Source organism: Homo sapiens, chromosome 7 (genome assembly GCF_000001405.40).
Source record: "Homo sapiens chromosome 7, GRCh38.p14 Primary Assembly".
NCBI lineage: Eukaryota > Metazoa > Chordata > Mammalia > Primates > Hominidae > Homo > Homo sapiens.
The window spans coordinates 18,843,945-18,861,062 of NC_000007.14; the positions used below are offsets into that span (position 1 = coordinate 18,843,945).

Genomic DNA, 17,118 nt, shown 5'->3' on the forward strand with positions numbered 1-17,118 from the left:
CAGAGCTGAAGTTCACACTGTTTTCTGATGGGCAGGACTTTCAGAGAGTAGTTCAAGTCTTTGCATGACATCAAACATGTGGATGATAGACTCAATTTTCCATATTTCATCCCAATGATTTGGTGTCATATAGATGGAACTTATAAATCAACATCTGTTTTCGTTTAGGCAGAAATTTAAACTTTTCTGGCACTATTCTAGAAGGGTAATGGCTTGTTCTTGTATCCATTAGGAATCTGCCCATCTTTCTTGTGGGCACTGCAGTACTGGGTATTGGTTATCTAAACATCTATTCCAAAGAGCAGCACTACTGTCGTAAAGCCATAGGGAGGGTGGTGAGCTTATGAACGACAAAGCTTCTAGTGGGAAAGACTTACCAAAATGGCATTTGTCCCATTATCACTCATATCTCAACTTCAAAGTGGAGAGAAGAGGACAAAATAGATTATTCAGTCCCCATTTAAGCACAGCAGAATTGTAAATCTGCATCTCAATTTGAAGATATTTTTACATCCCAAAACACTTGTATGAAAGGCCATCAAGAAAATAACATGTACACATTATCTTTCCCATTAAAGAAACATATTGTTGCACTTGAAAATAAAATGTTGGCTCGCCTAGGATGTATATTTTTAGCTGGTTCTTAACTCTTTTAAAATTAAAGTGATGCTGGAGTTACCGAAATGGACTGAATTTCAGAAACAAAAGAGCATTTTTACTGGAACAGAAGCCAAAAGCAAATAAATGAAGAAGAGCTCATTCAAACCCAAGAGCAAGAATAGAAGAGGCACAGATTTATAATTTGAAAGTTTTATTACCCAAAGAGATCTGGGTTTCTTATCCTTCTGTACTTTTAGTTTCAGAAAGTCTCCCAGAGCTGCCTCATTAGGCCTCTGATTTTGCTTTATATACCCATGTTGCCTCCCCTGTAGAAGTTTCTGACACTGTAGATTCTTTTATGTTTCAGTACTTCTAAAATGAAAACAGCACTGTAGAAATGATTCAGTGATGGCTTCCTTTCCGGTAAATATGACACCGTCGTAGTAGGTGAAACGGACAGGAACAGAGATAATAAAATCTGACGTGTCATATTTTACTGACTCAGTTTCAATGAACTGATTACATTCTAAATCATTAGAAGAACTGAAGTCTGCCAAAAGTTTGTTAATATATACTATTTAGTTTGGTTTTTTGAGGGTGTGACAATTAATACAAATCAAATGATTGTATGTAGAATAAAAAAATTAATATGAAGGAAGGCTCACTCACCTGTTAATTTACTAGTCTCAATTTTTTTAATTAACAAATTAATATTATTTTGTCTCTCTTCTAAGATACACACAGAAGGGGAGAGAGAGGGTGAGTCTGGCACAGGTCTCTAAACATACTTTAGAAGAGAAAGAAATCCTCCCATTGTCAGAGCTGAGCATAAAATCTGCACCAAGTTTGAAGGGCTTATGTGGCCCAATTTAAAATTTTGTTGTTTTATAATAACTTTGGAGAATTGTATTGTTCCTTATAAAATACCCACATGTTCTCCTTTGGAATAGCTCCAGAGTGTAACTGAACCACGAGGTTGCCTCCTGGTGCTTTATGTATTGTTTAATTGTTTGCTTTGGTGGATGTTTTTATTAAAAGCTTATTATTTAGGATAAGACCAAAGTGTCATTTTAAGAACAACAGAAGCAGAGCTGTTTGGTCTCATAGTTCTTTTTCATAGGTGTGTTAGTGAATACTAGATACAGCTAATGAACCAGCTGAAAATTGTTCTTGTAATACTTCACAAAGAGCAACAACGACAACAAGCAAAACCCTTGATTTTTATTTTCCTTCAATAAAACATGACCAGATTGGCTAGAAGAGCTAGGAGTCTCCATGGCTGTGTCCAGGCCTCGAAGGAAGAGAGGTATCTGTGGGTGCGCATCTGCTCTGTCTGTGTTTTGTTCCAGGAGGAGTTTGCTTGGAGTCACGTGCACTGTGGTACACAAGGCCATAGCAAACCTCAGGAGCTGGGAGGCAGTGAAGCCCCTGTGTCACAAGGGCCGTAGTGGGCTTCCTGGGGTGTGTACCAAGCCTACGAAGGCTTTAGTGGATCTCAGAACTACAAAGTTCTTCATGTCCTCCCTCTGCCCACAATTTGATTGCAAGATAATTATCTTAGCTGAGATCATTCTGAATATAAATTAGGTCTGGGAAAAGTTTTTAATTCAATGATTTTAATTCTCAATGTTCTTCTCCTCCCTGAATATTTTCTTTTCTGAAGCAGTATCACCATATCACTCACCGACTCCTCAGAAGTTGGCTCTGGAAAGAATTCATAATGTTCCCTAGCAGTTCCTTGCCACAAAGAGCAAGCAAGAGTTTGATTAGTCCATGACTTCCCAAGCTAGTCTTTGTGACTGGGACCCACCCTCAGACAAAAAACTTAAAGGCAATATACCTTGAGATAATTTCTAGGACTTACATGACCTCATTAAATTCCGACTCTAGATCTTATGTAGACATTTGAGGAAATATGGTTATTGACAAAATGTAAGCCCATTATAGACTATATCACTTCAAAAGGAGAAAGGCCATTAGAACATAATTACATCAGAAACAGTATACACGTTTGGCTGGTTTATAAACTGTCACTTTCAGAAGTACGAAGACTTATAAAAGTTTCCAAAGGTTCCATTATAACCCTATTTCCAACAGTATTCTCTGACAAACTAAATAAATTACTGCATGTATTGGACCTTTGAGGCTTGGGGCAAAGAATGGAAAAATTATTTACAAAAGCTTGAAAATATTTAATCACTAGAGGCAGGGGGGCAACGGTGTTTTAATTAGCAGGTCCTCGGGCCATTGGCTGACTAGAGGCTTTCTCAAACAACCACACAAATGCACTGAATAGCTGTTTGCCAGCCTTAGGGTCAGGCCTGAGATGAAACAGATAAGATAATTGGCTCTAATGAAATCCAGAAGGCCTTGGCTTTCTTGTTTGAGCTTGGATTTGAAAAGTGCGTGTGGAAGTGAGGCTTAATTCAAACCAGAACTGAGCTAGGCCCGTTTCTCAGTGACTTTGATATTGTTTGAAGTTCTAAAAGTGTTCGCCACACCACTAGCCTGCTGGGCTGGGCCTCCCTGGTACCCTTAATTACTAAGCTTTATTGCTGACTTTACTACACAGGAAAGGGGCCATTATATGTTCCATCAACATCAGCTCTTCTCAGATTGGAGGAAAGGGCAGGGTTAAAGGCCACTGTAGGAAGGCAAAAACTTCACTTTGAGGTAGTCAGATCATTTACCAGTGTTGAATTTCACCGTTACGCACATACATTCCTTACAACACAGAAGCCCCAATTTCCATTTTTTAAACAAGTGATTACTTTTCAAAACATTTTTGTTTGTGCCTTTTTTTCTTTTTCCTTTCTTTTTTTTAGAGAGAACGTTTATTTTTAAGGACTGAAATGATTGCACATGATACACTGAAAAAAAAGAGTACAACACCTCCCAATTAATCATCACACCAGAAGGTCTGGTTGGATTCTGTAATAAGGAGGATTATTATTAATGCCCCTTTGAAGTGGAAATAAGTGAGGAACCCTCCTGTGGTGTGAGAGTTGTCCTGACACCCTGAGGAATAAAGACGCCTCAGGAGACTCTACAAAATTAAATCCCAGCTTCTAGAGTCTCTCACAAAGTGGTTACACAAAAGGGCTCCCAAACCAGTTTGAAGCCAAGAAGCAAAAACGAGGAAGTCTCCCCCTGAGGGGTCAGCTGTGGTGTTACTGAGGATTCCATCCTCCCCATTCTGGCCGCTGCTCTGCCTTTGGTCCAACTGGTAAAATGGATTATGCATACATATGAATTAGTAACTATTCAACACTTACCCCTCTCAGATGAGGAGATCTGGTTATGCTATGAAAGCCAAGGGACACGGAGTCCAGTCCTATTTCCTGCCCTATTTATCACCTCTGGTTAGGAAAGTCATGAGCGATTCTATCAGACTTAACTCGTTATGAAAGAACAAGTTGAGTATATTTTGCATTATTTAAGTAAACTTGACATTAATATGATCCAATTTCATCCATGATCCTGCTAACCATTTATCCAATACTCTTTTCTGGGTATTGTTATGCACAGGTGGACTGGGTCCTAGGTCTCCACTAGGATGATGTGTGTCTGGGCCTAAGGAACCATATTAGGAACCCAGGGAGACCAGTATTAGGAAGACAAAACTGAGCTTCTGCTTCCTAACCTTTCCTAAGCGGAATTAAGGAGGCCCTATACAAATTTTTGCCAGTGATGAACATGATATCAGCTCTGATCAGAAGAAGAATCTGATCATACTCAGCTCGTTTTAAGTATGTATGTTTTTCATTAGGCACTGTTATTGTCTAAATGTTTGTGTTCCCCCAAAACATGTATGTTGAACCCCTAACCCTCAATGTGATGGTGTTTGGAGCTGGGGCCTGTGGGTGGCAATTAGGGTTAGATGGAATCTTGAGGGTAGGTGCCCTTATGAGCAGTGACACCAGAGAGCTTGCTTCCTTGCTCTCTCTCCATGCACACACACCGAGGCAAGGCTATGGGTGCACGCAGCGAGATAGGGCTGGTTGTAATCCGGTGAGAGCGCTCTCATCAGGGCCCAACCATCCTGGCACACTGACCTCAAACTTCTAGCCACCAGAACTGTGAGAAACTAAGTTTATGTTGTTTAAACTACTCACCTGGTGGTATTTCTTTTTTAATGGCAACCTGAGCAGAATAAGACAGACACTATAAAGATCTTTAATATGAGAAACCAAGCAACCCACTAATGGACTTAAATTACCAAAAAAAGTATCTTCCAAACCATATTTTGCTAAACACTGGATACAAGAAATGTTAATAAGTGTTTCTCAACAATAAAGAATATCCTATAGGGAAAAATCTCTAATTGAAGACATATAATATGTAAATTCATGTTAACAACTGCAGGAATTCCAGTAGTAATTTTACATTATTTAATGCATTCTTCCTCAAATTATTTGAACATGAAACTCCCAGCTCCCCACATCTCTTCACCCAACATCTGTAAGTATCATGAAAACTAACATTCTATAGAACACAGTTTGAAAAATTCTGATAGATATAAGTAGCAAACTTAGTGGGCATTTTAAACAGTCCATCGCTAATTCAGTAAACATGATAAAAGTAAGTAAAACACATCTGCCCCTAAGATTCTCACAGTCACTTTAGTAAAATAAGTACATTATATTACATGTCATTATAATATTGTGTTATCACATAAACTGAGCATACCACAATCCATATTCTACGGACTGTCTTCTCCTTTTTCCACTGATTACATGTGAGTGGTTCTTAGATAACACACCCTAAAGACAAAGAAAGAAAGGAAGAGAAACAGAATTAACAAGAGAGGGAAAAGAGTGTCAGTTTCCTTTGCTATGACTATTAAATGACTCAGTGAATTTTCTTAGGGTAAAGTTACTGCCATTCAAAATTATAGTAAATTGGTAATATTTTACAGTCATATATTTTTTGTTTCAGCTGAGTATATTTTGTTTCAGCTTAAGTATGGGCACATATCTCCCACACTTTTTTAGATCAGATATGACACATAAAAAAGATGGCTTTGGTTTTTTAAAAACTCTTACAATTAGCAACTAATGGCAGTGTGAACATATAATTGGTTTTATAGGTAAATCAATTTGTCGACTTACAAACTTTTAAGACTTCATTTGTTATTCATAACTACATTTTGCTGAGGAAAAAAATACTTGTTTATGTCAAAAAGGGGAGAATTTCCATTAAGTTCATACTCTCCATGATGAGAAAGCACACCCCGAAATAAGACATTAAATGTTAGAATGTATTACTTTTCCTGGTTAGAAAAGAACTTGGCTTTGGGAGTGGACCCTATGCGTATCATGGTGTGGCAATGCCATTTTGTTTCCAAAGATAACATTTGTAGATGTACAGATGTCCTGAACTTTATTAAACCACAGCTGTGGTTATCACATATTTATTCAAAAGATATTACAGCTATCAAAGCAGTATGTCAGCAAAGTCCTTAGTAGTTTGCTTAAATTGCCCTTTCATTTTACTGTATCTGTAAGTATTCAACCAATGTCTTTAAAAGCCTGAGTAAAAAAAAAAAAAAAAAAAGAAAACACAAATAAGCAAACACGAAGCATTATTTACATGGAAGCATTCAGAAATCATGAATAGCATTATCACAAATGAGTTATGACATTTTATAGGTTCACAAAAACGAGAGAGAGAAAAAATACTTTCCTTGAATAGCACAAAAGCATGCAGCTTTCTTTAGCACATTGATTCTTATTCCAACGATCTGAATGTGGAGTGTGCTTGGCCAATGATGATGTGGCTGAAATATGCAATATTTATGAGGCACAGACCCTTGTACTTCTTGTTCGAGGAGAGGCAGAAGTGTGACAATGTCCTTCCAAAAATGAAAGCGTAGGGGAGGATTCTTCCCTGGAATAAACCTACAGAATGCTTTCTTCTGTGGACCATTAGTAGATTTTTTCCTGAGCCAAACATAATGAAGAAGTATTTTTTATCTCAAAGCTCAAAACCTCTGCATCTATTGTCATATTGTATTTGTCCTCAAATATCCTTATGAATTGGACATGATACTTCTGAAAATCACACAGGAAATTATTCACATGTCTAGAATAGAGGCTTCCCTCGCCATTAATTCAAAATGGGAAACCGAGTGCATTCCTGTCTTGCTTCATTAAGGCTGCTGTCACAACATATCATGGACTGGATGGCCCATAAACAACAGAAATGTATTTTGTACACTTCTGGAGGCTGAGAAGCCCAAGATTCAGGCGTCAGCAGAATCAATGTCTGTTGAGGGCTGCTTTCTGGTTCATAGATGGCACCTTCTAGCTAAATCCTCACATGGTGGAAGGGTGAGGCAACTCTGTAGGTTTTCTTTCACAAGGGCACTAATCCCGTTCTTGAGGGCTCTGCTCCCATGGTCTAATCACCTTCCAAAGGCCCCACCTCCTAATATCCGTCTGGGTTAGGATTTTGACATGTGAATTTATAGGGGACACATTTAGGCCATAGCAATTGCCAAGACAAACATGAGTGGATTTTGAAGAGTAGTGAGAATTAACCAATTCTTGTGGTTGCAGTGCTTCCCTTTGCCTAGCAGCAGCAGGTCTCTGCTCTCACCAGATTTCCATGAGGAGCAGCTGAGCTGCAGTATCTATTCGCTCTACTTTCTTGGGTGCTGATACGGTTTGGCTCTGAGTCCCCACCTGAATCTCATCTCGAATTGTAATCCCCATGTGTCGAGGGAGGGACCTGGTGGGAGGTGATTGGATCATGGGGGCGATTTCCCCACGCTGTTCTCATTATAGTGCTTGAGCTCTCACGAGATCTAATGGTTTAAAAGTGTTTGGCAGCTCCTCCTTTGCTCTCTGTGTCTCCTGCTGCCGTGTATGAAGTGCCTTGCTTCTCCTTCGCGTTCCGCCATGATTGTAAGTTTCCTGAGGCCTCCCCAGCAATGTGGAAGTGTGAGTCAATTAAACCTCTTTTCTTTATAAATTACCCAGTCTCGGGTAGTTCTGTATAGCAGTGACAAAACGGACTGATACAGGTGCTCTACGTTCGTATTACCTCTTAGTAATTATCGTCTTTTATTTGCCTTCCCATGAAACTGCGTTTTTAATTTTCAAAGAGTGGACTTGAAAGGTTAAGAACACATTTGTACGATGTGCTTTTCCTGAAATGTTAGTTAGTATAGTGATTTATATTAAATCATCCAATCTACTTTTTAAAATTCCATTAACACCAAATGTCTAATTATTCCTGTCTTGTAAACTGCATTTATGAAAGCAAACCATTTTCCGTTTTTCTTTCTTTTACGGAAACATCCAATCAAAGTTGGTTTCCTGAATATTTAGATTCATTAGACTTTCTTCATTTGTAAAACTATAGGAGCAGCTACTCAGCAATGCCTTCTTCGCTCCTTGCAGGCAGGTAGGTGCCTGTGTGGGAAATACCTTAGGAACCAAGGATTGTTGGAAACTTGTCTTTAGAGACAGTCCTTCTAACAAGGCTGCTGAGGGGTGCAGAAATGGTACACCTCTGTTCTGGCTGCTTGATCAGTGTCTCAATTTAGCCTTTGGTGCTTTGAGGTATCTTTCATGTGCGTAAAGCTGCCTTACAAGTAGCTGACTTTCTCCCATGTGCTTAACTGAGCTAGTTGCTGTGGAGAAAAATGCAGAAGCATGTAACAGTCGGGGCTGGGAGTGAGAATCACTACAAGACAATTAGAGAATGAGCAAAGCCTGATATATTGACCATGCACTAGGAGAACAAAGATAAGGGAAAGGACTCTTAATCCAAGTCTTGTGAGTAGCCCAGTGTCCTCCTGGCATGTCCAGGAACTTGAGGACGATTAGAGTCAGGCGAGGAGGCGGAGGATTATAGACATACTATCATTCCTATTCTGAGGCCAGGCCTGATTTGTGGGTGTTAATCTTGTACAATTACAGAAACTCTCTTTCAAAGAAATAATACAAAGGCAAAAATTCAAAAATAGGTACAGGGACTTGGAAAAGGTCCATGTGAGTGAGGGACTTTGAAAATTAAGATTCATTAGCTTTATGGTAAATATGCCTTGGTACATATAGTCCTAACACCTTGTATTGCCATTAATTGGAGTGAAACAATGGACACTGCACCATGGAATGAGCCTTAAGTAAAATTAATGGCTATGCTGGGTAGTGAAGAGAAACAGACAAATTCTGCAAAGGTGGGGGATTTCTTAGAGAAACTGCACTGACAGGGAATGATCTTGACATAAAAATTCAACTGGGATACATTTTTCATCTGAGGGCACATGCTGAGGAGATCAAAGTAAAGGAGCTTTTTTTTTTTCCCTCTCTTTCTTTCCAGTGTATGTTAAGGTAGATTTTTAAAAATATATATAAGAAGAAAGGATCCATCGAGGAAAAATAATGAAGTCAATCCAAACCAAACAAATCATAGTAGGGGTGCGGGGAGCAACCAGTATTTACATGGGGAGCGCACACTCTTCTTTTGGGTTTGGTGTGAAGGGTCTTCACCTGTTTGTGAAAGTGTTCAGAATGTGGACTGAGGCTAGTCCCTGAGTCGGCCTGGCTCCGACTTTCCACCGAAGGGGTAGAGTTGCTTTAATGTGGTTCACGTGTATGGTGTTTCATCTTAAGCAGAGTGATTTATGTTAATGAAATGAAACAGAAAAAATACCCTTTACATCCTAGTCTCCTTAAAAATATTAAATAAATATGTCCAGGACTTTTGCATGATTATATTTATTAAAACAAATGGAAGACTTCAATCCATACCAGAATAAATTTGTAGGTGACCCTGGGGAGGGTTAAATCCATTAGGAAAAAAAAATGAGTTTGGGGGTTTCTTACCAATTCTGAAAAGAAAGTTTTTAAAGCCATTAAGTTCAGCAATATAATAGATGGTTACAAAATGAGCATCAATTGTAAGATAATTTGTTCTGTAATTTAGAATATTGTTTTGTTTGGCTTCTGAAAATTTAATCCCCAAATCATGGTTCACAAAATATATTCAGAACATCTTTATAAATTGAATACTAGACTTCTTACTGTGTTAATGAGAATTAAGCATGTGCCATCTTTAAAGTACCTATTTGAAACTGTTATAATTTAAGAGTTCAGCTTTTAATTGTTTGTCATAACTGTTCTACTAATACAGAACTAGTCATTTTAATAGAACTTAAGGGCAGCAGAATCTTTTCAACTCTTAGATTTCATTAGCGTGCATTTACCTATACCTTTACAACATGATTATATAATTAAATTTCAAGGAAATTAAATTAGCCAAATGAATACATTTTAAAAAATTAGTTGATTGGCATTTTTCTCAGAAGTTACCTATCTGATGACAAACATTAGACATAAGAATAATTCACATGTCTGGTTATCTTAAGTGTTGATTGAATTGTAATTTATCCAGCTGACTGTAATATTTAGTAAAAGTGGAATTAGCCAAGGAAAATGTAGTTCACTTGCTTGGAACATAGTGACATACTCTTAATTCCTCTAGTATAAATAAATAGACATCTATTTTTGAAATACTTTTTAAAAACAAGGTTAAGAAAGTAATACAATAAAACTTCTATTTTAAAAATCTTTCTGTTCATTGCTATGTGGGAAGACTTCACCAGAAATGTACCAGAAATTTTCCTTAATGTGATGTACCTGTGGGTATTTGGCAAGCATGTCACTTGGCAGATAGTTGCTAATATGGAGCACAAGAAAATGAAATGTAAGGGTACTTTTAAAACACATTCCTGAGAAATGCTTAGCTCTATCTGCCAGGTGATATATCATTTACTGTCATATATTGGCAGCTGAAAAACTGAATTTTATTTTTGCTGTCTTGGCTACAGATATTATGTAAATTATATTCTTATGGGGTTCAAGGTAGTGATCATGATTGTAATGACGTTGATAATGGTCATTTAATCAATACAGAGTCTGTCGGTGTATCTTACTGCAAAGAAAAATAAGTTTATGGTAATTCAGGTGTATTTCCAATTAAACAGAAAGGAGAATCAGAAGAAGAGTCAATAGGAGGGTAGAGAAAATATAGAAATGGCTGTAAGAGAAAGAAACAAAGAGAAATAGAGGACAAAGACACTACTCTAGTCTAGTATGGGATGCTAAAAGAAAAAAATACTGAATAGAGAAAAGTATAAAAAGTCTAATAGAAGAGTAAATAATCAAATTGGGGTAATTTTTTAAATGGGTGGGAGTAAGGAGCCACTACAGCAAGAAAAAAAACAAAAATAGTAAATGCCATTATTTTCAATAAATGCTAAAATTTATGAAAATGGGATTTTATCACGGTCATTGACGTTATAGCATTAATGGTCTATATATTTTGACAGCGTACTTAAACCCCCAAGGTAGGCAACATGGTGAGTGCCTGCGTAAATTGGTCAGGGCTTGGGTTGTTATTGTTAAATGTTTTGATGATCACCTAGGTTTAAAATAATGCTTTCATAATATAATGGGAAAATGGATGCAATTGGCTGCTAAGTGATTGGCGTCAGATTTCAGAGGTAGTATGAATTAGCTAGAAGGCGTCCCTTAATCTCACTGCACTCTACTCTCCAGAAGCCGTCTCTGAAACCAGAGCAGTAATAGGACATGTCTCTATCACACAACCAATGAATGTCACAGGCTGGTTTTAAGACTTCCAGCTCAGGACTTGCTTTACACTAAATTACGTGCAGCAGACATTTTCCAAATATACACCCCCTAAAGATCTATCGTGACCTAGCGTAGTGTTATTACAGAGAAGGGAGTTGGAAAGATTGACTGATTGATTAGTGGCCATTCTCTGTAAACCTGACATAAATGCACATTTCCTCTATTTACAGAAAATAGTTGCAATTGTTATTTTATTATTTTTTATCCTGGCCCATGGTCAGTAGCTCTATCCACCTCATTTCTATCATTGCTAGAGTCTTTTGCTTTAAGTCTTCATCATGAGCATGCCTTTCCTGCTTGTCCTTTGAGAACACTGTTCACAGTTCATGGCACTGACTGTGTTTAGGCATGGTGGCCGTGCTGAACTTGAGCACTCCTTTTCAACTGCCTGTGGTTTCACCACTTCTTAATATGTTAAATTTATTTAGGCTGTGGTTGTTAGCCCCTTATTTTTCTGCTTGCCGTTCTGTCAGTTAATGTTTCCCTTGCATAGGTCAGAAGGTGGAGAGGGGAAGAAAAGAGGGAGAAGGGATTCTTAGCCAAATCCAGGTCAAGCTGTCTAACCAAACGGTAGCTGATTCTATTACCAACTTGGTCTCTGTTTCCCAGCCTTTATGGTACCAAGAGACTTTTGCAGTAATGGAAACATTCCTTCTTTTACTTCTGTGCACCGTCATCTTCCTTGACTTCATGCAGAGAAACACAAGGAGCAAAATAATTGTAAGCATTACAGCCTTTTACTCTAATGACCTTGACTCTGCACTGGGATAGATGTCTAATTACAAAGAATTCAGCACAGACCACATTAGCGAGGCTGGTGTTTGCTTTGCACACAGACCCAACATCTGTTGGATCTTTGGAGCAGAGATTTAGTCATGGGAGATGAATCCTGCTGTTCTCTTAAAATGCATGCTTTGAAAAGAATGCTCTTATAATATTTTGGTCCTGAGAGATACGGCATCATAGGTTCACGCTAAGGCTCACAGCCCCTAAGAAATTATGAGTAACTGATTAGATTTTTATAACTGCAGATCAAGTCCCTAAAATAAGAATCTATTCTTATCTTAGAAACTATGAGTATTATTTAGAAACCATGAGTAACTGATTAGATTTTTTAACTGCAAATCAAACCCCTAAAGTAAGAATCTATCCCTAAAAATCAAAATCTATTTTGCTATTTTGGTCACTATAATGAACAGAGGGAGTTGAACACATGGTTATCTCTCCACCACTCATGGCTGCTGCATAGAAATTGCCCCTAAAGGATGTTAATATTATTGATTTTATAAACTATGTAGGTAGAACCTCTATTTTTCTTACACTGAACTTGGAGTGGGCAAAAAGAAGCCTACAAATGCATTATAAACATTGCAAATGTACATTATGAATGTATATTACAAATACATTACAAATGTGCAAATGCATTAGTAGCTTCCCTTAATTTCAGTTTATGAGTTTGTGATATAAATGGCAGGGAAGAAAAACATTTGTGTGCATTTATCTTTGGAAATAGCACAACTTATTTAATCAATTGCTTTCTATTAACATTTTTTTGGTGAATGTGAACAATACAATCAAATGTAACATCGATTTGGGTCTCTGTGATTTTCCCTGTCACCTCAATTCATTCCCGCCTTTTCTCCACATTACTGTCTTTCCCTGAAGCATAGGTAGTATTCATTTGCCACCTGAATGATCACCGCTGGGTCACTGTTGTGAAACCATAAAGTGCCTTGAAGGAAATCACAGTGCAGTTATTCAGTCTGTTCATATATTCTTCTCCTACCTCTCAGCTTTATCTTTTTCTTTCTCCGATTTCTTCAGTCCAGCTTTCAACTCTTCACTCCCATATATGTCATGTTTCAACTTCATTTAAATTTTTATCTTTTTCTCTATGTGTCATAGTTTTGGTAATTTTATGACTAAAACATGCTTTTCCTTTTGTCTGGAAGTATTTATTTTCTTTCACTGAATAATTGCTTCTCTTTTTTTATTTTTTTTTAACTGTGTTGCAGCACATAAAAAGTTTATGAAATCAATTCAGAGGGTCAAGATTGGCATTTTAATAGAATGTAATAGAAGATAAAAGAGTGTCACATATTGTTTCACAAAATATGTTTTAGTTGTGTGTGTGTGTGTGTGTGTGTGTGTGTATGTATGTATGTACTAGTTCCTGGAGTGAAATGTACTTTTTTGTTTGTTGTGGTTTGAGAATTTTGAAAGCCACTGTTTAAACAGCCAATTAAAATATCATTTTATCTATAAAGTTTTGTCTCTGTTCTCCAGAATAATTAATAAGTTCATTTTCTATGTCCACATTTATAGCTGTAGTTTCTAGAGTAATTATTGTTTTGAACTGGGAGAAAAAAATCAATATCTGTATTAATGAACGCATCCCTTTGAACTGGAAGAAATTTGTTTACAGAGTTGCTTCATCCATGCCATCTGAACTTGTTAAGTATAGGAATCATAGGAATCTGTCCTGACATTATGAAATCTAGCACTTGGCACCTTGGCATTGAGATTCACTGTAGATGTTCAATGAATGTTCCAGGAATAAATTAATAAATGAAAAAATCTATGAAAAGACAAACTTGACAAAGTTGGGTTCAGCTATTTTGTTTTCAAATGGGAATGTGACATTCCCATTTTCAATGGGAATTTGAAAATATTTATCTAATATCTGCTACTTGAAAAGATTTTTAAAAACAAGCTAATTTTTTAAATATGAGGGTACAGTACTGATGTACTAATAACTGTGGAGTATTATTTGGTCTAAAACAAATACACATGCACAAAAGAAAATTAGTTTTCAAATGTTTATCCATTGAAATCTTGGATTCTGCCGGCTGTTTAGTGGTTCATTTAGCATGTCACAGTATCATGACAGCAGTGTCGAAATACCACCATAACATTCCCTTTTCAAAAAATGAAAATAATCAGTGAGAAAGCTAGCTATCTGTGCATATGGATCCACATGGTTGCATATTTGGAAAAATGGATAATCAATGTATTACTCAATTCTTAGGCTGCTGTGAAGAAATACCCTAGACTGGGTAGTTTATAAAGGAAAGAGGTTTAATTGACTCACGTGGCTGCATGTTCTGCATGGCTAGGCAAGCCTCAGGAAACTTACAATCATGGTGGGAGGCACCTCTTCACGAGGCAGCAGGAGAGAGAATGAGTGCCCAGCAAAGGGGGAAGCCCCTTATAAAACCGTCAGCTCTCATGAGAACTCAATATCACAGGAACAGGATAGGGGAAATCACCCCCATGATTCAATTATCTCCACCTAGTCCCTCCCATGACATGTGGGGATTATGGGAACTACAATTCAATATGAGATTTGGGTGGGGACACCAAAGTAACCAAATCAGCTTATGTTAACATTTCCTATCTAGAATGTTTGAATGTACTTTACTCAGAAATTGCTTTCATGCTAATCCAAGTGACAACCCATAGTCTAACTAGTCAGAGTATATTTTTATCTTAAATAATAAAACTACTCTATCATGTCACCATGGAAATTTCGTACTTTGTGGAGTGAACATTGCAGTTGGAATTGTACCTGGAAATAAGTTGCTGCTGAATAAATATTGACAGCAGTGTCTCATTTTTACCATGTCCTGATCTCCTGTGAAGTTTGAGTGGCATACCTACTTCCCTTCTAACTCACAGAAACACTGAAGTGATTGCTTCAATACACATGATATGCCTTCATTGCCTCATTGAATCAGAGCACTTAGAAACACTATTTTTTCATCCAAAAATGCAGTTAAAAGGCAGTGAAATTGTCAAGCTTCCGAGAACGTGATCTTTGGATTCAGACAGATATGAGTTTGAATCCCAAGTCAGTCAGTTATTTGCTGAAACAACTTGACTGATTATCTTACCTTCATTGAGTCTTAGTCTTACTGTCTATAATTGGGATCAAAGTACATAATTTCAAGTATATTGTGATCATTGCAACATTAGAAGGAATGTATAAACTTCTTAACTTCATGCCTGGCACCTAGTACATTGTCAAAATGGTTGATGATTTTGTTGTTGTTGCTAGAAGAAAAGAGTTTCCTTGCCTCCAACATAAACTATTTTTTTAGTTTTGGAATTAATCCTACTCTCCTGTTATTTTAGCTATGAATACATGTAACACTCCTAGATCTTGGGCTGATCTCCTGATTGAGAAGACAGCCTGACTCTGCACTTCAGAACTCTATTCAGGCCCCAAGTTCTTTCTTTCTTCTCAGTCTCTTTCTGGCTATGCCTCAGGGAACAAGTAAAATGTGTTACTAAATGAGCTTGCCTTTTGTCTTGTTCATCTCACATTGCTACGCAATTAAAAAAAAAAAAAACTTGATGATGCTGCCTTCCTCAGAAAGGCCACATCAAAAGGTAGAGTTAACCAAAAATAATACACACTTTTTCCAAAGACACAAACAGTTCCTTGAAAAGGATGTCATGCTGTAATTTGTTTTGTGAATTCTATAAACCACAGAACATTTACTTACAGTAATGTTTGACCTTTCTTTTTCCTTATTTTTATGCCTACAAAGCTTCTTTTTCTCTCCTCTTGAGAAGAAATATAAAGGCTAACGCTCTCATATATATATATATATATATATATATATATATATATATATATATATATGTGAGAGAATGAGAGAGAGAGAAATATATATGATTTTATTGGAATACTGAATTTAATTTTTAGCCAAAGTCCTTTGGCTTTATGCAATAATATTTTATGGAATGCAATCACTTGTGCAAAGACTAAAGAGAGGCTCATTTGAAACTTTGCAAAAAGAATATGCTGCTCATAGGGTAATGGGAAATGCAATATGTGTACTAAGCTACACACTGCACCCCACCGAAAGGAGAGAAATCCCTATGACTGATTTGATGGTAGTATAATCTCTTTAGGGATTTTTTGGATAAAGAAAGTAATAACAAAAAATAGGCACATAATTAAGTTTCCAAAGTGCACGTGTCACCAGCATCTTATTGTCCCTCTGGAGGGGAAATTTACTAATGACTTGGGTAGACATTTTTCCTGCTATGTGCCCAACTGAGAAAAAAAAATCAGCCTTTCCAAATTTTCTAAATAATTCTCTGCTATGTAAGTTTTAAGAACATTTTACTGTCATTTGTGTTCTATTTTCTATTCATTATGGCAATGTTTTACAACCACCAGGTTGCTATAGAAATGAAAATAAACAAAGATTTGGAAAGATACATGTTGCAGGGGCTTGTTCTGCCTCTCTTGCCTAAACCATGAGGATTATGTTATTCTTTAAATATACTTTCTTCCTTGGTTATCCAGTTGGTCTTAATATAAGGAAACAAAGTTAAATACTTTGTTCTGACTTGTGTCAAATTTTTCTCAATGTCTTAAACTCTTTTCCTGTCCTTTAAGAATAAATTGGGCTAAAAGAGGATAAAATTAGAAGGAAATAAAGGAAAGAAAAAAAGGAAGACGGAAGAAAGGAAGGAAGGAAAGAGGAAGGAGTAATAAGGTAGGCATAAGATAAAACTAAAAGTTGCTATGGAGCTGACCTCCTTGTCAGCACCCACTGGAACTATAAGGAAGGGTGTATTTTATTGAGCAATCACAGGCAATTTTGAAGGGGTTCAAGAAGAATCAGTAGTTCTAGTGCATTATGCTGGCAAAGACCCTTGCCCGCTCTCCACACCCTTGTAGCTCAGCCTCAGTTCTCTAGGATGTGGTCTTTTGTTAATTGGATAGTAGCAGAGCAAAGTCGGGACTACTGATCCTTTCCAGCTCTAGTCCTTACAAATATGGAAAGACTGATTTAGTAATGCTTATGAAACCAAATACATAACAGCCCCTTTA

The 17,118-nt window shown here is 37.1% G+C and overlaps 1 protein-coding gene across 6 annotated transcripts in view, besides 1 other annotated feature; it reads left to right on the top strand.

The window, feature by feature from the left end:
* Positions 1–17,118, top strand: part of HDAC9 (histone deacetylase 9) — a 915,592-nt gene that overhangs the window by 757,120 nt on the left and 141,354 nt on the right. The window lies entirely within an intron of this gene.
* Positions 2,404–3,663: an enhancer, noted in NCBI's record as "VISTA enhancer hs644". NCBI's record gives its function as "enhancer in: hindbrain (rhombencephalon)[4/9] | forebrain[6/9] | limb[6/9]" and the evidence as "EXISTENCE:transgenic organism evidence [ECO:0001131][PMID:17130149]".